This window comes from Homo sapiens, chromosome 10 (assembly GCF_000001405.40).
Source record: "Homo sapiens chromosome 10, GRCh38.p14 Primary Assembly".
NCBI classification, from domain to species: domain Eukaryota; kingdom Metazoa; phylum Chordata; class Mammalia; order Primates; family Hominidae; genus Homo; species Homo sapiens.
The window spans coordinates 46625523-46646345 of NC_000010.11; the positions used below are offsets into that span (position 1 = coordinate 46625523).

The window sequence follows — 20823 nt, forward strand, 5'->3', positions numbered from 1 at the left end:
CCAGGAGTTTGAGACCAGACTGGGCAACATAGGGAGACTCTGTCTCTGCCAAAATAATAAATAAATAAATAGCTGGGTGTGGTGGCATGCACTGATGGTATGCACTAGCCTTCCCTTCCCTCCTCAGCTACCCGAAAGGCTGAGCGGGGAGAATCACTTAAACCTGGGAGGTGGAGACTGCAGTGAGCTGTGTTCACACCACTGTATTCCAGCCTGAGCAACAGAGCAAGACTCTGTTTCAAAAGAAATAAAAATAGCAGAATTTATGTATATAAAAATCTTACCTGAACACTTATCCTCTAGGTGGGTTGCTAAGTCTGATATCTTCACAAAGGAGGGTGCACTTTTTTGAAATTTTGCTTTAAATGTAATTGCCCTTATATCATCATCAAACAAGCACTCACAGGATGACCAAGGCGTTGTATGCAATTCTAGGTTTTCTAGTGTGTAATTGCGCTGAACAAAAAGATATTTAAATTCCCAAATATAACCTTAAACAAAAACAGTAAAAACAAAAGTCACCAAAAAGGAAAAAAAAATCTAGGCTTAGTATCAGATTAAATAGATTGATCTGATTAAGTCAGTTGAATACTAATCTTTTATCACTAAAGAATTTGGGTAAACAGAGACAAAATATGAATGGTGCATTAAGACAACAGAAGCATGCTAGAGATTATTATTATTATTTTTTTTTTCCAAGACAGAGTCTCGCTCTGTTGCCCAGGCTGGAGAGCAGTGGTGTGATCTCGGCTCACTGAAACCTCCACCTCCCAGGTTCAAGTGATTCTCCTGCCTCGGCCTCCTGAGTAGCTGGGATTACAGGTGCGTGCCACCACTCCCGGCTAATTTTTGTATTTTTAGTAGAGACAGGGTTTCGCCATGTTGGTCAGGCTGGTCTTGAACTCCTGACCTCATGATCCGCCCACCTCGGCCTCCCACAGTGCTGGGATTACAGGCATAAGCCTCCGCGCCGGGCCACCAGAGATAATTTTAATAAAATATTTTCTAAAGATTCCTTGCCCTCCTGAACGGTCATCATTTATAATAACCAACTGCTTTCTGTAAAGAAAATTCTCATGTATCTATCTATAGGCAAAGTTTTGTTTTGTTTTGTTAAAGAAAGGACACTGAAATGAACCCAAGTCTAATATTTCACTCATATTTCAATACTTTAGTTATCTTAGTTAACTTTTCTAGAACAAAAAGCATTTAGACACAATAGTACTTATTTTTAACTCTCAGTAACAATTTTTTTTTTTTTTTGAGACGGAGTCTCGCTCTGTTGCCCAGGCTGGAGCACAGTGGCGCAATCTCGGCTCACTGCAAGCTCCACGTCCCGGGTTCAAGCCATTCTCCTGCCTCAGCCTCCGGAGTAGCTGGGACTACAGGCGCCTGCCACCACGCCCGGCTAATTTTTTTTGCATTTTTAGTAGAGACGGGGTTTCACTGTGTTAGCCAGGATGGTCTCCATCTCCTGACCTCGTGATCCGCCCGCCTCGGCTTCCCAAAGTGCTGGGATTACAGGCGGGAGCCACCGCGCCGGCCACAATTCTAATACTTAAAGCCACAGTAACACAGACCTTGTTACTGTTATATTCTCTATTAGTAAATTCAACTTATCTGTATTATCATATTCTGTATTAGTAAATTCAACTTCAAAACTATAATAAAACAAAAGAGGGTTTCTTAGCACTCATTTTTCTGATAACATCAGCTGTCTTTTTAGTTTCTCACTTCAGGCCATAAATCTAATTTACTACACCTGCTCATCTCCTTAGTTTCTTTCACTAAAGATTTTTTTTTTTTTTTTGGTGGAAAATCATCAAACATCTCAGTAAATCTGTAAAGACAGAACATCACTAGCTAGAACTAAAGCATATATTCCAAGTTACTGCTTAAAACCAATCACTAAAATAGCTTTCTTGTCTTATTACAAAATACCTGATTAGAAAAGTAAGCTAAGAGAAGCCAAGTAAATAAACATATAGCAGCCATAATCTCAACACCCTAAATAAGCAGTTAACATTTTAGCGGACAACCAGTTGTTTGGGATTTTATTTATTGGGATTGACTTAATAAGTCAAATATAGTTTTATATGTATGTATTATTCTACATTGCTTTTAAATATTACATAATATGCCATTGTCCAGATACACCAAAATCTTAAAAATTATTACAGCAAACCTCTATTTTGAGGGACTCTGGTTGTTTTTTATTTTTCACAATTATACATGATACCATGATAAACCCATTTTCAGCTACATCTTTATACATAGTTATGATAAGTTCCTAGAGCTAAAATTATTGGGCTAAAAGTACCCCCAATTTGTTCATATTAATTGTCAGTTATCCTCAAGAAAGGTTCTGCCAGTTTGCATTTCCAATAGCTGATGACAGTAGCTGTTTTCCCATATCTTCTCAATCAATTTCTTAAAAGAAAAATAATCTATCATCATTACTTTGTGTGTTTTCAATTACTTGTAAGAACAATTTTTCCATATATTTATTGGCCATTTTTATTTCTTCTTTGGGGACTTGCCTACTCATATCCTTTCCCCATTTAACTCTATAGATATGTGTCTTTTGCTTACTGCATTATTGTCTGACAATGTAATTTTTTTTCTGTTTTTTTTTTGTTGCCTTTCAATTTTGTACATGGTGGTTTTTATGTATAATAGTTTTTGTTCCTGGATTTTATTTACCCTACCAACCTTTGCATTACAAATAATTTTGCCTATATTTTCTTCTACTATTCATTGTTTCATTATTTTTGTATTTGAATCTCTAATGTATCTGAAATTTATATTGGCACAAATATAAAGTATAAATTTAATTCTATTTTTTCTCACATTGTTAGCTAGATTTTCCAAACATTAACTATTCTTTTATTTTAAAAAGCATAAGGTTTTAATTTTATTTTTAATTATAAAATAAAATACATTTATTGTGAAATATTTAAACAGTAAAGATGAGGGAGGTAACAGGTGAAACAAGACTGACCATGTTTTAATAAGCTGGCTAATAGGTACCGAAGTTCATTATGCTGGCCGGGTGCGGTGGCTGGCTCATGCCTATAATCCCAGCACTTTGGGAGGCTGAGGCGGGTGAATCACCTGAGATCAGGAGTTTGAGACCAGCCTGGCCAACATGGTGAAACCTCGTCTCTACTAAAAATACAAAAATAAGCTGGGCATGATGGCACATGCCTGTAATTCCAGTTACTTGGGAGGCTGAGGCAGGAGAATAACTTGAACCCAGGAGGTGGAGGTTGCAGTGAGCAGAGATCATGCCACTACATTCCAGCCTGGGTGACAAGAATGAAACTCTGTCTCAAACAAACAAAAAAAAAAAGTGCCTTATGCTTAGTATTCTCTCTACTTTTGTATATGCTTGAAGGCTTTTATAATAAAAGTTTTTAAAAGTAAATGCAGATGCTCACACACATATGAAATTCAAACTAAAGGTATAAAGAAAAAAATTAAAGCACATATAATACTACTATACAGAAATAACTACGGCTAGCATTTTGCTATACATGCATATTTCCAGGTTTTCAAATGCACATATGTACTTATAGATACATTTTTATTAAAATGAGATACTATCATATATAAAGGGTTTTCTTGAAAATTTTTGTGTATTAACTTATATAAACATAAAAATATTTATTATATGATAACATAATATATTTTCTATACATGAAGTTTTACAATCCAATTTTTTTTATTTTTTATTTTTTTTTAAGATGAGAACTTGGACTCCTGGGCTCAAGCAATCCACCCACCTCAGCCTCCCAAGGTACTGGGTTAACAGGAGTGAGCCACCACACCTGGCCTATAATCTACTTTTTAAACTAAATAATACATTACATATATCTTTCTAAGCTAATGAACATACACATTTTTGGTAGTGAATATCTTTATGTATTCACCCAGATCACAAATGATTCCCTTAACTGTTTTCCCATCCACTGAAATAAGCTCAAGCTCTCATATTTGTATTGCGTGACCCTGTCTTCCTGATCACAGTTTTTTGAATCAAATTTACTCTGGGCAATCAGATTCTCTTTGCTGGGAATTTGGAAATGGGGTTGGTCTCTTGAAAAGAAAAGTAAAATCAGGAAAATAGAATTACTTAAGTAATCCTTCAAAATTGGTATTTTTATCTTAAAAAGACTGATGTGAGGTATTGAAGTAGATGTTAAAACTTTAAAATGATGGTTACAAATAAGGGGGGCTGGATGAATGAATGTACAAAGAACAACAACATCTTAATTCCTGGATTCATACGTTTTCAATACTAACCTAAACACCATAGAGTCACCTAGAGACAACTGTAATTTCTCTTCTATTAACCAAAAAACTATTAATTTTAAAAGAATATTCACATTAAACATGGAGCAATCTGCTCTGTTACAGCTCCACTATACCTGTGACCTACATTCTTGTGTAGCATGCACTAGACTCATGTTCTCAGCCAGGCTATGGTGGTCAATGATCATAGTTAGTCTATCACTGATACATGTTTGTCAGCTTGCTCAACCAAACAAACATCTGTCCCTGTTTGATCTTAACATAAAAGTCCAAAGTTAGACTTATCTCAAATCCTAGTCATAGCTATTAATGATTAAGAGAGACAATGTGATAGATCCTATCTACAAATAACTATTTGGAAGGCAGAAGTTTGGAGAGACATTAACTCTTTCAGGTAAAAAATAATAATATACTGAATCAATCTCTAAATTAATTTAGCAGGGAAAAATAACTCATAAGCCACAAATGAAACTGTCTTTGATTGTTACAACTAAAGGATCTCACAATAGCAAAGGGAAGACACTATACTATTTTAATGAAACATCAATTCCATTTAATTCAATATACCAGAAATAATTTATGCTTTAAAGAAAAATGTAATCATGGGTCATATTTTAACACTGAACATTCTAGGGATGGCTAACAGTGCATGCTTTTAAAACAACTATAATAAAAATATGAAACTGTAATTTATTGAACATTAATTGTGACTTGAAAGAGTTAAGGTAACTCCCTTGACATCTGCCTTATAATCATAGCATTTATTTATCAGAGTACTCTGGCTGAAAAAAAATTGTAGAAGCTTCTCCAGAATTAAATGTTTAAAGAACATTATTTGAAGGAGGTAAGATCTTCACTAAAAAGGTAAAGTAGTATATCTGGGAATAAATTTAAGCCTTTATTTCACCACCATTAATTAATGAAGACTTATTAGATAAATGAATTGCTACAAGAGGTACAAAATTTTAACAGAAGAAATTTGCAGAAGAATATTCAATCATGATCACTTGTATTTCAAATGCTGTCTCGTCTCTTAAGATTTTCTCCATCTTGGGCTCATAAACATTAATCATTTACCGAAATATAAATAGGTTAAATGCTTTTTGGTGTATTTACCTTTTTTCCTTTGAAGTTGAGGGTACCAGGCTGCTCCAGGACCCCATAATACAAGCGCATAATGTTGATCTTGGGCCTGTTCCACTGTTAACATAACTTTTTTCTGCTTCTGTCCTCTATAACTGTATACTGCCTCTGGAAAAGGAAAATGAGTATCTTAGTTGGCATTACTCTATCACACATGATACCATACTTTAATAGCTGATGATACATATATAGTGATAACCAAATGGTACACTAAGATGGTCTTGTATCTTAATTTTTTCATAATCTAAAATTAAGGAGGCAGTCAAAATGTTTACCTGTCAGTATAGGAAATCAACAACTCTTAGTACTGCGTGGACTAACACATCAGGTTGAAGGTGCTCCAATTCTACAAAGTCTATACTGTTCACCCTCTGAGGCTGTCTCGGAGGAAGATCTCTGAGGTAGGAATGTTTTGAGGACACATATGCCAGTAAGTCTTGAAGTACAACGTCACTAACTACGCTGGAATCTAAGGAAAAAAAACATGCATACAGACAAAAGATGGCAACATTATATTTTTCTTGACAAATAATATTTTTTAGAACTGTATTTTATGTTGTAAAGTATGATTAGATATAAAATATAGTTTTGTTTTCTCTAAAACATGTACAATAGCTAAGTCTTGAATCAGTTTAGATGTAAAAATAAACTTGATATTTTTAATCAATGGAAATGGAATTATTTACTATCCCCAAAAAACTTGTGCTGTTCCCATACTTCTTTACTTTGTTAATAATATCATTTTCTATCAATTAACCAAACACAAAATTTCTGTTCTTTTTTGACTCCACCACCCTGTAACAGCCAATTGGTTCCCCAATCCCTGGAGTCTGATTTGATCCTGCTTTCCCAACTATCCTAGCCTCTGCCGTTCTTCCTCAAGCCCCTTCTGAAACAGGCTCAGAGCCACCTCACTGGTTCTCTCCCTGAGTGTGCCTTACTCTTTCCACACGAGGCCTCCGTCCTCACCAATTTCCAGCTGCAAGGCTGTCTTCTTGTCCTACCCAATACCACATAGAATGATGACCACTATAGATTCACAGTGCTGCTTTTTTCCCTGAGCTCAGAGAGCTTTTAAGCATGTGCTACATTGTAATATTTTTCAAGTGTTGGATTGGTTATTTAATTCTTCAGTTACTATGTCTTTTAAATGTTTTTCTCTTTCCTGTCTCATTTTTTTTCTCACTTTTTATTAAGGTATAGTTTCTGTACAATAACATGCATATATTTTAAATGTACAGGCTGATGAGTTTTGCTGATTAAATTTTAATTTCTCTGAAGGTAAGAGAAGTATGCTTGAGTATGTGATTGATTGCCGACCAAAATAAGATATTGGCAATAAACACTTAAGTACTTTTTAGAAAGCAGACTTCATAAACTGATTTGTGATTCTTCTTTCCTTCCTTTAGACAGTAAAAGAAAAGGGATGTAACAGGTGAAACAAGACTGACCATGTTTTAATAAGCTGGCTAATAGGTACTTAAGTTCATTATGCTTTGTATTCTCTACTTTTGTATATGTTTGAAGGCTTTTACAATAAAAGTTTTTAAAAGTAAATGCAGATGCTCACACACACATAAAATTCAAACTAAAGTTACAAAGAAAAAATTAAAACCACACGTAATACTACCAGACTGAATTCTTCTTTCACAGTATTTCCAGCAAATCTGGAATCAGAAGAGTTGTATTCAAATTCTGGTTTTGTCAATAATGAGCTCTGTGAACTTGTACATAACTTCTCTGGGCTTCGTTTTTCATGAACAAGATAGAGCTTTTGGGGAACAAAAACATCTCTGACATCAAATTATATATTTGTCCCTGATTCATAAAAATTTACGTGGAAACACATGGTTATTTAGATTCCAAAAAAAGTCTACCTCATGGAAACACTGTGTTGATCTTTGACTTATATATTTAATAATATTCAAGATAAATTTATATTCCTGTCACATTATCAGAACTAGGTTTGTAAAACATGTAACACCTCACTATAAAGATGAAAGTACAGAAGTCTTTTCTTTTCAACTTTTACTTTAGATTCGGGTGTACATGTGCAGGTCTGTTACCTGGGAATACTGCGTGATACTGAACTTTGGGGTACAAGTGATCCTGTCACCCAGGTACTGAGCACAGTACCCAACAGGTAGTTTTTCAACCCTCTCCCTCTAGTAGTCCCCAGTGTGTATTGTTGCCACCTCTATGTCCATGAGTAGCCAGTGTTTAGCTCCCACTTATAAGTGAGAATACACGTTATTTGGTTTCCTGTTCCTCCCTCAATTCACTTAGGATAATTGCTTCCAACTGCATCTGTGTTGCTGCAATTTATTTATTTATTTATTTATTTTTTTGAGACAAGGTGTCACTCTGTTGCCCAGGCTGGAATGCAGTGGCACAATCTCAGCTCACTGTAAACTCCACCTCCTGGGCTCAGGTGATCCTCCCACTTCAGCCTCCCAAATAGCTGGGGCCACAGGTGTGCACCACCACACCTAGCTAATTTTTTTGTATTTTTTGTAGAGACAGGGTTTTGCCACCTTGCCCAGGCTGGTCTCAAACTCCTGGACTCAAGCAATCTGCCTGCCTCAGCCTGTCAAAGTGTGGGAATTACAGGCATGAGCCACCGCACCATCCTGATTTCATTCCTTTTTATGGCTGCGTAGAATTCCATGGTGTATATGTACCACATTTTCTTTATTCAATCCTCCACTGATGGCCACCTAGGTTGATTGCATGACTTTGCTACTGTGAATAGTGCTACAATGAATATTCAAGTGCTTATGTCTTTTTGGTAGAACAATTTGTTTTCTTTTGGATATATACCTAGTAATGGAATTGCTGGGTCAAATCATAGTTCAGTTTTAACTTCTTTGAGAAAACCCCAAACTGTTTTCAACAGCGGCTGAACTAATTTACATTCCCACCAACAGTGTACAAGCATTTCCTTTTCTACACAGCCTACCAACATCTGTCGTTTTTTGACTTTTTAATAATAGTTGTTCTGGGGCTGGGAGTGGTGGCTCACACATGTAATTCCAGCACTTTGGGAGGCTAAGACAAGAGGATCGCTTGAGCTCAGGAATTCAAGGCCAGCTTGGGCAACATGACACAACCTGGTCTCTACAAAAAATACAAAAATTAGCTGGGCATGGGGGCATGCACCTGTAGTCCCAGCTATTCAGGAGGCTGAGGTAGAAGAATCTCTTGAGCCTGGGAGATTGAGGCTGCAGTGAGCTATGATCAGACCACTGCACTCCAGCCTGGGTAACAGTGAGATCCTGTCTCTAAAAAATAAATTTTAAAAAAGTATTATTAGGTCCCACTTTTCAATTTTTGGTTTTGTTGCAATTGCTCGAGGGCTTCATCATAATTATTTCCCAGAAGTCCTTTCCAAAAACACAATATATTGATCAGAAATAAGAATCCTCTCATGAGTTGTAACCACTTGCAAAATCAAAACCAAATTGGTAAAATGAGTAACCAAATTGGTTTACTCTTTTTTTTTGTTTTGTTTTTTTGTTTTTTTGAGGTTTGCAGCTATTTTATTTGCAAGTATACATTTAACACAATGAAATAAACACTGATATATTGAAGCCTAGTTAATAGTAGTGTAACAATATGCATCATTTTGATGATTACATTATTTTAAACAACAAACTACACTGAAAAATTAATGCCAATAAAATTCTTGGTCATAATATTAAGAAATACAATATATAAATTGAAAATATGATTGCTTAAAATTTGAAAATGGAAGTGAACTCATTTGGACAGACTCAGAGTTAACATAATCTGAAGGGAGGGGAGCTCTGACCCAAATGATATCTTTCAGGTTAACAGAAGAAAAAAGAAGCATAGTTTATCTCCAAGGAGAACGGGCAGTTTGCTTCTTCAGCTAGAATATATTCCCAGTGTCCTCGGGCTTTGCAGCAGAATCACATCACCGAGCATGAAGACTTGCCTTGTGAAGCTGCCCCGTCCATTTTTTCTGCCTCCAAAATCATCCTTCGAAAAACATCAACAGCAGTCTGATTTTCTTTAGCAGAAGATTCCAAAAAAGCTGCATTCCAAGATTCTGCCAAAGCTTTCCCTTCTTCATAACTGATCACCCTTTCCATATGCAGGTCTTTCTTATTTCCAACCAACATAATAGGTATTTGTACTTTCCCCACCATATCCAACAATTTGCCATGGATAACTTTAATCACTTCAAAACTTTTGATTGATGTAACAGAATACACAAGAATATAGCCATTAATATCTATGGAGTATGTCTGAGGAAAGATAGAATATTCATCTTGCCCGGCTGTGTCTACAAGTTAAAGATGATATTCTTGTCCATTTACTGTGATCAACTTTGTAAAAGTGTTTTCTATGGTTGGATCGTAGGAGTCCACAAATTGGCCTTCAACAAATTGAATCGTCAATGAGGATTTCCCCACAGACCGGTAGCCCAGGATCGCGATCTTCCGGGACTTTGACTGCGGCATCTTGGCGGCCTCCTCAGCCCCGGCCCAACCACATCAACCGCGGCGGCGGCGGCTCCTGCTGCTGTGATCGGCGGCGGCCGCGCCGGGAGAGAGCGGCATACAGAGCAGGGGCGGCGGCGGGCGCGGCTGCCTCTCGCTCGCTAGCTCGTGCGCTCCCAACCGCCCGGAACCGACCGCGCGGCGGCGCCCCTCCCCCCCACAACACGCCCACGTGACCGGCCGGCGTCAGCACCGCCCCTCTTCGCGCCGTGGCCCGCCGCCTCCGCCCCCCGAAATACGCGGGGGGTGCGTCGGGGCGACGTTTTACTTTAAAGGCAAAAAAAGGGGACGCCGCGATGCCCCCAGAAAAGTCACGACTGAAACTCGCTGCGTCATGACCCGGTTTACTCTTTCAGAAGAAAAACAACTGCAATATTCTCAAAATGTCCACTGGTAGCCATTTCCCTACATCAATAAAAAAACTTTAGAATATACTTTATTTAGCTACTAACCTGTAAAAAATAAAGCACCATAAATTCCTGTGTATGTGTAAAAACAAAGATTGTGAAGTAACTTCTAAAGATTATCTAATTAGTTCAAGATTTTTCACATCATTCTACAAAAACCTGAAACTCTCTAGGGGATTCATAGAATATTCTCCATCCAGAATTTTGTCATAAGAGTTTTATGAAATTACTGAACTATTACTTGAATCTAGATCATCCTTAAAACCAGAGATATCTACATTTCCCAAATCTCTTGCAAAGCATTTGCATACCATGTTATTTTCATTATTTCAAAACATTCCTTCCCCTTCTATTCTATCAACATCTACAAGATATGCTGAATTTTACTTAGAAGCCATTTAGCTATCATTCATACACACACACTTTCCAAAATGTAACACCTTCAAATATACATAATAAAAGACTAAACTTGTATCTTTTACAGAAATCTCAAAATTAAAATTTAACTGACTTCAACTGGGCAAAACCACACCATCTCAGTTACTATAGGTTCATACTAAGTCTTGATAGCTGATAGGGTAAATTATTCTTCCCTGCTTTTCTTCTTAAAATGCCCTGCTGTTTTCAACCACTTACTCTTCTACATAAATATCATACAATCTTATCAAATTACATGAAAATCTTATTGGTCTTTAACTCATTGCCTCAAGAGATCCTCCTACCTTGGCCTCCCAAAGTGCTGGCATTACAGGCATGAGCCACTGCGCCCTTGAAATCTTACGAGGATTTTTATTGAACATGCGCTGAATTTACAAATCAACTTGAAAAGAACTGAAATCTTCACAATGTTAAATCTTCCAATTAATGAATAAAGTATATGTTTATTTCATTCTTTGTTAGTTTTTCTTCATTTAAAAATTTTTCCTTTTTTAGGTCTTGCACATACTTTGCTACATTTATTACTATTAGTACAAAATAATATTGTTGTCAATGGCAGCTTCCTTTGTTATTGTTAGTCGCTCTACTCTAGAAATGTGATTGACTTTTGTATGTTAATCTTATATCCAGCTACTTTGCTAAATTTTCACATTATTTCTAATAATTTGTTTGTAGTTTTCAGAGGGAAAAGGTATGTAAACCATCTATAATAATGGCAGTTTTATTTCTACCTTTCCAATCTTTACATATCTATTTTTCCATGTTTATTGCACTGGTTAATAACTCTAATATGGTGTTGAAGAAAAGTAGTAATAGTAGTATCCTAGTCATATTCCTGAATTTTAAAAGGAATGCTTCTAATATTTTTCCAATTAGGATGATAATTGTTCTGGGTTTTCTAAAGACACTCTTTATGAAGTTAAGGAAAATTTTATTCTATTCCTAATGAACAGGTGTTGAATTTTATCAAAAGCTTTCTTTGTACCTATTGAGATGATCGTATACAGCTCTTTTAAAAACTCTGTTTTGAACTAATGTAAGACTTACAAAAAAGTTGCAAAAATAGTACAGAGTTCCCTTATATTCCTCACTATGTCAACTAATGTGGGCATCTCACATATTATAAGTTATCTTAAACAGGAAACTAACGTTAATTAAATATTGTTAATTAAAATGTAGATGTTATTTAAATTTTACCAATTCTCCTATTAATATGCTTTTTCTATGTAGGATTTCATCCAAGATCCCACCTCACATTTAGTTGTTATTTCTCTTTGGTCTCCTCTAGTCTATAAGAGTTTCTCAGTCTTTTCTTTTTCATTACCTTGACACTTATGAAGAATCCTGATCAATTATTTAGTAGAACGTCCTTCCCTTTGGGTTTCTCCAGTGTTTTATGATTGGAATGAAGTTATGCATTTTTGGCAATTCCACAAAAAATATGGTGGATCCTTCTCAATGGATAATATCAAAGAATTTATGATACCATACATCTTATTACTGGTGATATTTACCCCAATCACTCAGTTAACTTGGTGTCTGAAGAGTTTTCTTATAAATTTATTATTTTCCCTCTAGTAAGCTGGTATCCTGGGGAGATACTTTGAGACTATGCAATGCTCTCTCTCCTCAGACTTTCACCTACTAATTTTAGCATCTATCAGTGCATTTGTGTCCGTGCAGTATTTATGATTGTGATCTCTGCCTGATGGTAATTCTCTATTTTTGTGTTTTGTATTTTTTTTTTTTCTTGAGACAGAGTCTCACTCTGTTGCCCAGGCTGAAGTGCAGTGGCATGATCACGGCTCACTGCAGCCTCAACCTCCTGGGATCAATCAATCCTCCCACCTCAGCCTCCCGAATAGCTGGGACCATAGGGGCACACCTCCAAACCTGGTTAATTTTTCTATTTTTTGTAGAGATGGGGTTTTGCCATGTTGCCCAGGCTGGTCTCGAACTCCTGGGCTCAAGCCATCCACCTGCCTCAGCCTCCCAAAGTGCTGGGATTATAGGCATGAACCACTGAGCATGGCCAGTAATTCTCTATTTTTTTTTCTTTTCTCTCAGATTTATTAATTGGAATTCCATTGGAAGGAAGAGCTTTCTCTTCCCCTCTGGTTAGTTAATGAAATAAATATATCTTTATATCAATAAGGATTTGTAAAGATTTTAATCTATGGGTTCTAATCCAATACTATCATTATTTTCTTACTCAAATTGCTTCAGCTTTAGCCAGTAGGTGTTCCTTCAGGTTGGCTCTTGCATTATTTCAACATGTCTTGTCTGGCACCACTAGACTTCCAGGCTTATCCTGAATTTGCCCTGACCCAGTCCTGTAATCAACCACTTTTAGCAGAGCTGGTTCCTTTCATTAGAGAACTATGTTGGCCAGGCACAATGGCTCACACCTGTAATCCCAGCATTTTGGGAGGCCAAGATGGGTGGACTGCTGAAGCCCAGGAGTCCGAGACCAGCCAGAGCAACATGGTGAAATCCAGTCTCTACAAGAAATACAAAAATTAGCCAGGCGTGGTAGTGCACACCTATGGTACCGGCTACTTGGAAGGCTGAAGTGGGAGGCTGGCTTGAGCCCAGGAGGCGGAAGTTGGAGTAAGCCGAGATCGCACCACTGTACTCTAGCCTGGGCAACAGAGCCAGACCCTGTCTCAAAAAAAACGAGAGGCCGGGCACGGTGGCTCACACGTGCAATCTCAGCACTTTGGGAGGCCAAAGTGGGCAGATCATTTGAGGTCAGGAGTTCAAGACCAGCCTGGCCAACATGGTGAAACCCCATCTCTACTAAAAATACAAAAATTATCTGGGCGTGGTGGCACGTACCTGTAGTCCCAGCTACTTGGGAGGCTGAAGCAGGAGAATTGCTCGAACCCAGGAGGCAGAGGTTGCAGTGAGCCAAGATCACGCCACTGCACTCCAGCCTGGGTGACAGAACAAGAGTCCATCTCAAAAAAAAAAAAAAAAAAAGAAAAGAAAAGAAAAGAAAATGTTTACAGATGAAGATCTGGGCACCAGGTATGCTCATTATTACTGAGGAGTAACTGCATCTGTGCTGTGCTCGCTCAATGGACAGAACTAGGAGATGTTTATGTATGTGTACTATCCCACCCATATACACATGCCTATATTTCTGTATCCATTTATCTATATTAAAAATCCTCAGTTTATAACGATACCTCTGGTTCGTTTTAACCTTCCCTTGTTTATAATTTCTTTCTCCAACAGTGAGAAATCCAGCTTTCCTTATCTGCAATCTATGTACTCATTTGTTCATTCTAGTATGTACATAAGGTTATTGCTAAGCCATTCGCCTTTGAGAAACATATTTCTAACTAGATTGCAGCATTTATGTACAGTCCTTTCTGTCATTAGCCTTATAGAATCCAGTCAATATACTCTTTTCCACAGCTACTTAGGTTTGTTCTTTTCTTCCCCACCCCCTTCTATGTAGTTATTTTATTCATTTGTAACAATATTAGGTTCATTTGTAACAATAATACATTCATTTGTTAGTGTCACTTCCTCCTGACCCCTGCTATCCTGTTCCCATTCCCCACTTTCTTCCACCCCTCTCCTACGTGCCCCCTGTAGGTGACCAATCTCTTTAGTTTCTGGTTTATCCTTCCTGCATTTTCTTTCCACAAATAAACAGAGGTATTTTCTTATTCCTCCATTCCTTCTTACAGGAGGGACAGCATACTACATATAGTTTTGGGGGGTTTATGTTTTCACATAACAGTATGTCCTGGGAATCACTCCATATCAGTTTGTAGAGATCTTTTTCATTCTTTTTGTACAGCTGCATAGTACATAGTGTTCCACTATGTGAATGCACCATAACTTAGTGAATCATTCTCCTATATATTTTGCAATTATAAACAATACTGCAATGAATAACCTTCTGATATGTATTTTCATATTGTTGGAGGTGTAGCTTCAGGGTAGATTCCTAGAAGTGGGATTGCTAGGTTGAAAGCTAAGTACATATGTAATTTTGTTAGATATTGCCAAATATCCCTTCAAAAGGGTTGTAGCAATTTGCATTCCTACCACCAATGTATAAGAGGGCACATTACCTCACAGTTGCGCCAACAGAATGTGATTTTTTTTTTTAATTTTGCCAATCTGATAGGTGAGAAATGGTATCTCCATGTAGTTTTAATTTGAATTTCTCTAATAAGTTATATTTGATAGCCATTTTTATATCTTTTTTTGAAAATTGACTGTTCATCTCTTTTTCACATTTTCCCTTTTGCCAGGCTAGAGTGCAGTGGCATGAATACAGCTCACTGCAGCCTCGACCTCCTGGGCTCAAACAATCCTCCTGCCTCAGCCTCCTACGTAGCTGGGACCATAGGCATGCACCACCACACCTGGCTAATTTTTTGACTTTTTGTAGAGACAGGGTCTCACTATGTTGCCCAGGCTGGACTCAAACTCCTGAGCTCAAGTGATTCTCCCACCTCAGCTTTCCAAAATGCTATGATTACCAGTGTGAACAACCACACCCAGACTTTGTCACTCAAGGTTTAAAAGTTCTTTATATATTAGGGATATTAGCCTTTTGTTGTATGTTACAAATATTTTCTCCAAGTTTGTCAGTTGTCTTTTGACTTTGTTTATAGTGTTTTGGTTATGCAAAATTTATTTTTCTGTAGTAAAATGTATCAGTTTATCTTCTACTGCCCCTGGATTCTGAGTAATATTAAGAAAAAGCCTTTCCCTACACCAAGATTACAGAGGATTCATTCAGGTTTCCTTCTTGTTGTTGCATGATTTTATTTTTTACATTTAGACTATTAATCCATATGGTGTTTATTACTGTTTGTTGTGAGATATGTGTCCAATTTTCCCTTTTTTCCAAATGGCTACCCAGTTGTCTCAGCACCATTTATTAAGAAGTTAGCTTTTATCTCACTGATTCCAGATACTATCTTTGTCATATATTAAATTGCTATATGTAGGTGGGTCTAATTCTAATCTTCTTACTCTGTTCCACTGGTCTACTTGTCTATTCATGCATCAGTACTTCACTGTTTTAATTACAGAGGCTTTATAGTATGTTTTAACATCTGGTAAAGCTAGTTCCCCTCCTCTGTAGTTTTCCTTTGTCAGTCTTTTCCTAGCTATTCTTGCATGTCTGTTTTCCCATATGAGCTTTAGTATCAACTTTTATATGCCACAACATATATATTTTCATTGGAACTACATTGAATTTACATATTAACTTAGGAAGAACTGACATCATTATAATGTTGAGTCATCCTATCCAAGAACAGGGAATGTCTTTCCATTTATTCATGTCTTCATTTCTTTCTGGAGTGTTTAAATTTTTTCCTCATATAGGCTTTGCATATTTCTTGTTAACTGTATTTTGAACTATCTTCTTTATTACTATAGTAAATGAGTTTTTCACTATCATTATGCCCTCTGTTTATTATTTGTGTATATTGTCTAATTACTATTATTATTATTTTTTTTTTGAGACAGGGCCTTGCTCTGTTGCCCAGGCTGGAGTACAGTGGTGCAATCACAGCTCACTGCAACCTCATCCCCCAGCCTGGGCTCAAGCAATCCTTTTACCTCAGCCTCCCAAACAGCTGGGACCACAGGTGTGTGCCACCACACCCAGCATTTTTTTCTTTTTCTTTTTCCTTTCCTTTTTCTTTTTTGTAGCCCAGGCTGGTCTTGAATTCCTGGGCTCAAGCTGTCCACCCACTTTCATCTCCCAAAGGGCTAGAATTACAGACGCAAACCACTGCACTCAGCCTAATGATATTTTTTAACATTAATTTTGCATCCTGTTATATCATTGAATTATCTTATTGTTTAAATTTGTTTTAACTTTGATTCCCTGGAGTTTTCAGGTATGTTATCAGAGCATTTGTAAATAGAGATAATTTTCATTCTTCTTTATCCATTCAAATGTTCAAATGCCTCTTCTTTCTTTTTTTTTTTTTTTTTTTTTTTTTTGGAGAGACAGAATCTCGCTCTGTCCCTCAGGCTGCAGTGCAGTGTACAGGTGCTCACTGCAACCTCCACCTCCTAGGTTCAGGCAATTCTCATGCCTCAGCCTCCTGAGTAGCTGGGACCACAGGCATGCACCACCACACCTGGCTAATTTTTCATCTTTTTAGTACAGACAGGGTTTTGCTATGTTGGCCAGGCTGGTCCCAAACTCCTGGCCTCAAGTGATCCGCCCACTTTGGCCTCTCAAAGTGCTGGGATTACAGGCGTGAGCCACCGCACCAGACCAGATGCCTCTTCTTGTCTAAGTGCATTAGCTGATAATTCTAGTATAAGATGAATAGTTGCAGAGATAGTGGACATCCTTATCTTTTTCCTGGTTTTAATGACAATGCCTCGAGTGCTTTTCTATTAAATAAGACATTGGCATTAGGACTAAGTATCTATTTTATTGATATAGTATTAATCATATTATAATGCTGTATTGATGCTATATTTATTTATTTAAGAAAAAAATTTTTTTTGAGACAAGGTCTGACTCTGGTCACCCAGGCAGAAGTGCTGTGGTACTATCATGGCTCACTGCAGCCTCAACTTTCTTTCCCACTTAAGCCTCCCCAGTAGCTGTAACTACAGGTGTGCACCACTACACCTGGCTAATTTTTCCATATTTGTAGTAGAGATGAGGTTTCACCATATCATCCAGGCTGGTGTCGAGCTCCTGGGCCCAAGTAATCCTCCTGCCTCAGCCACCCAGAGTGCTGGGATTACAGGCATAAGCCACTGTGCCAGGCTGATACTATATTTATTGATACTGAAAGGGAAAGTATCCTAGTATATTACTAGTTAACAGTATTATACAAATGTTGATTTCCTGTTGTTGATATTGTACTAAAGTTATATAAGATATCACCATTGGGAGAAGCTAGAAGAAGAGTTCATGGGACTTTATGTATTATTTTTGCAATCCCCTGTGATTCTATAATTATACAGATAATATTTATTTTAAAAACTTTTAAATTTGAAATATTATCTGTATGCTAATAACTCTAAAATTTGCCTCTTAATTTTAAACCTGTCTTCTGAGTCCTGAACTTTGTTTCCAGTTCTTATATGACATCTCCACTTGAATATCTCAAAGATATCTAAAACTTAACATGCCTTGAAACATAGCCCTTTTCCCCACAAACCAGTTCCCTCTCAGTCTTTCCCAATAAAGGCTACCTAGTTACTTAAACCAGTAATCCAGTAGCAGTAGATTGTCCCTCTTACCTGATCCCCAGACCCACATCATCAGAAAATCCTATTAACTCTATTTACAAATATATCTCGGCTCTTTAGCTCCACTGGCCTCCCATTATCTCTCAACTGCAGCTATTGTAACAACTTCCTAACCCTGATTCTACTCCATGATCAATCCTTCTCAACTAGAACCATGGCATTCTGTATCTTAACCCTTTGTTAGTTTCCTTCATAGCACTCATTATCACCTGCAAATATTTTACTTATATGTCTGTTTCATTCATTTTTTTTGGTCTGTCTTCCACATGAGAACATAAGCTCCAGGAGGACAGGCACCATTGTACCCCCAGTGTACAGTAAACACAGTGCCTGAAACAATGTCAACACATAATAAATATATATTGGATAGATGAAGAACTCTATTTGAGTTGTCTATGAAATATGTCAGAGTTGGTTTTCTGCTGATGGGCCACCCTAGTATATAATGAAACCTTGCCCATCCCAAACACAGTTCTTGTTATTCTAATTGTTGCTCTTCCCTTCTACTTGCTCTGCCTTTCTTTAAGAATTCAAAGATTGGAATTCCATGCTCTATCTTCCATATACATCCTATAACTTTCCTATTATTCCAGTTATCTTCTTGTATAATCAGTATATTTCTCTAGCTATTTTCTTGTATGATATTTCAGCATTTTATCAAATATATTTTGCTAGCTTATTATTTCTCCCTCTAATATTACTATGTTACTACTACATTATGTGCAGGTTCAACATCTTATATTCATTTTCTCACTTAATCTTCATAACAACCCTATAAGGTATATATGTATTTTTATCTCCATTTCAAAGAAAAGGAGATAAAGGTATAGTGAAGTGAAATAACTTGCCTAAAGACAAAGACTGGAAGTAAGAGGGCCAGGATTCAAATCCTGGTCTATCTGAGTCCAGTGACCAAAACCACAAGTTTATACTGTTTCCCTTACTTTGTTTTCTTTCTTTTTTTTTATGTTATTTTATTTCCTAGAGGAGGAGATAGCTGCTAGTTTCCTCATTAAACAGCTTCTTTTAAAGAAGAGAAAACTGGACATTAAAGAAGAAAAATAGCTTTTCTTAGCAGTGGTAGACAGGAGAATAAGGATTCAAACCACAGCTGTCTGAATACGAGACCAATACATTTTTATTACCTCAAGGATTCTTAATCAGAGGCTCAGAAGTTCCACAGAAGAACTTCAGAGGTCCACGGAATGCTTTAGAATTATAAGCAAAATTTTGTGCCTATCTACATAAGTCCAGTTTTCTGGAGAAATGGTCTATAGATTCTCAAAGAGGTCTCTGACTCCCTAAAAGGTGAAGAACCACCACTATACTGACAGCCTAAGAAAACGAAACATGAGACCCAATACTTCTTAAAATAAATGTGATTTACAATGTACAAGTTCATTTCTTAAAATTCTATTTTCATTCTTACTAATGAAAAGAAACCAATACTCTCCAACTGTTTAGAAAACATTTTGTAAAAGAACCATTTTAACCCTAATCTTTCCTAGTATGTTTTTATACTTTAAACACTAATACATTACTTCATTTAAAATGTGCCTTACATTCTTCAGGCTGAATAGATGAATAACTCCCAAGATTTAATAACTGACTGCTAAATGTTGATTGTAGTACTGTCTCACCAATCCATTGGTCCTCATGAATAACAACATCTAGAGAGAGAAAAAACATTCTGATCATGCCATAAATTCCTTCACAATGTGGTTAACCTACTAGTCACAGCAAAATATTATGCATGCCTCCCATATACCAAGCAACTAGAGATCAAATAGGTTAAATAACCTGCCTAAGGGCACGAAATGACAAAACAGCAAATCTAAAATCTAAATCTAGGTAAATTAACAAAATTTCTTCTTTATATTCAAATGATAGCAGTATGGAAGTCCACTGCTCTATATAAAAAAGGTTTAATAGTTTTTATTTACATAAGGAAAATGTTATCATGTATATTTCTGATACATCAAAAATAATTTTTTTTAGGACCAGAAGGCAAAGTAGTGGTTCCAAAGCCGTAGTGCCTAGGAGAGTAATAATATTCAGTATGCACTGGTCCCTTCTACTATAAATATATCTGAATATAACACACTTGATTATTTTTCCCTAAATAGCACGATAATTATCTTCCACATAAGTTAAAAGTGAAAGACTTTGGAGGTAGGGAACATTTTCCAATTGGAAAGAGAGAGCTGTATATCTAAGACGGATAGAGTAGAATCAGGTAGAACTAAACATACCAACAGGTAGAAACAATTGTAGGTAGAGCAAAACATGTGAGCTGTAAAGAGAAAGAGGGGAAGGGAGCTATCTCTAAGGCAGGATCTAATCAGCATACAGTGTCAGAGGTATAAACATATATTAACAATAGTGAAATAATTTAGAGATAATAGGAAAGAAAACCAAGGATGTATAAATTCCAAGTGATTACTTACAGATTTAGATTCCAGACCCTTTCCTCAGCTTTTGAACCTTTTATCTACAACTGCCTAATGGAAATTCCCACCTGGATATTCCATTGGCTCCCCAAACTCAGCAATGTCCAAATCTGCTTTTCCTTTCATAGCGCCCAACTCATTTATTGATGCTATGCTGCTAATCAAGTAAACTAAAATCTGAAGTCATCTTGCCTCTCCCTTCCCACTCCTTGCCACCAGCTCCCACCTACCCCTCTGCTGCTTAAATGTGCCCATGCCCCACCACTACTACTGTTTTACATT

The 20823-nt window shown here is 36.9% G+C and overlaps 1 long non-coding RNA gene and 2 pseudogenes across 2 annotated transcripts in view; 1 reads left to right on the forward strand and 2 right to left on the reverse strand.

Moving 5' to 3' along the window:
* Positions 1 to 20823, reverse strand: part of SHLD2P1 (shieldin complex subunit 2 pseudogene 1) — a 41505-nt pseudogene that overhangs the window by 15051 nt on the left and 5631 nt on the right. Inside the window, exons 2-4 of the transcript NR_027632.1 lie at positions 19654 to 19761; positions 5733 to 5926; positions 5431 to 5565 (exon numbers count right to left, since the gene is read on the reverse strand). The product of NR_027632.1 is annotated as a shieldin complex subunit 2 pseudogene 1 (transcript). The remainder of the gene's footprint in view (positions 1 to 5430; positions 5566 to 5732; positions 5927 to 19653; positions 19762 to 20823) is intronic.
* Positions 4630 to 11279, forward strand: LINC02637 (long intergenic non-protein coding RNA 2637). Its single transcript, NR_187473.1, has 5 exons — positions 4630 to 4708; positions 6867 to 6933; positions 7495 to 7600; positions 9287 to 9607; positions 9844 to 11279. It is a non-coding gene; the product is annotated as a long intergenic non-protein coding RNA 2637 (long non-coding RNA).
* Positions 8980 to 10324, reverse strand: RHEBP1 (RHEB pseudogene 1; annotated as a pseudogene).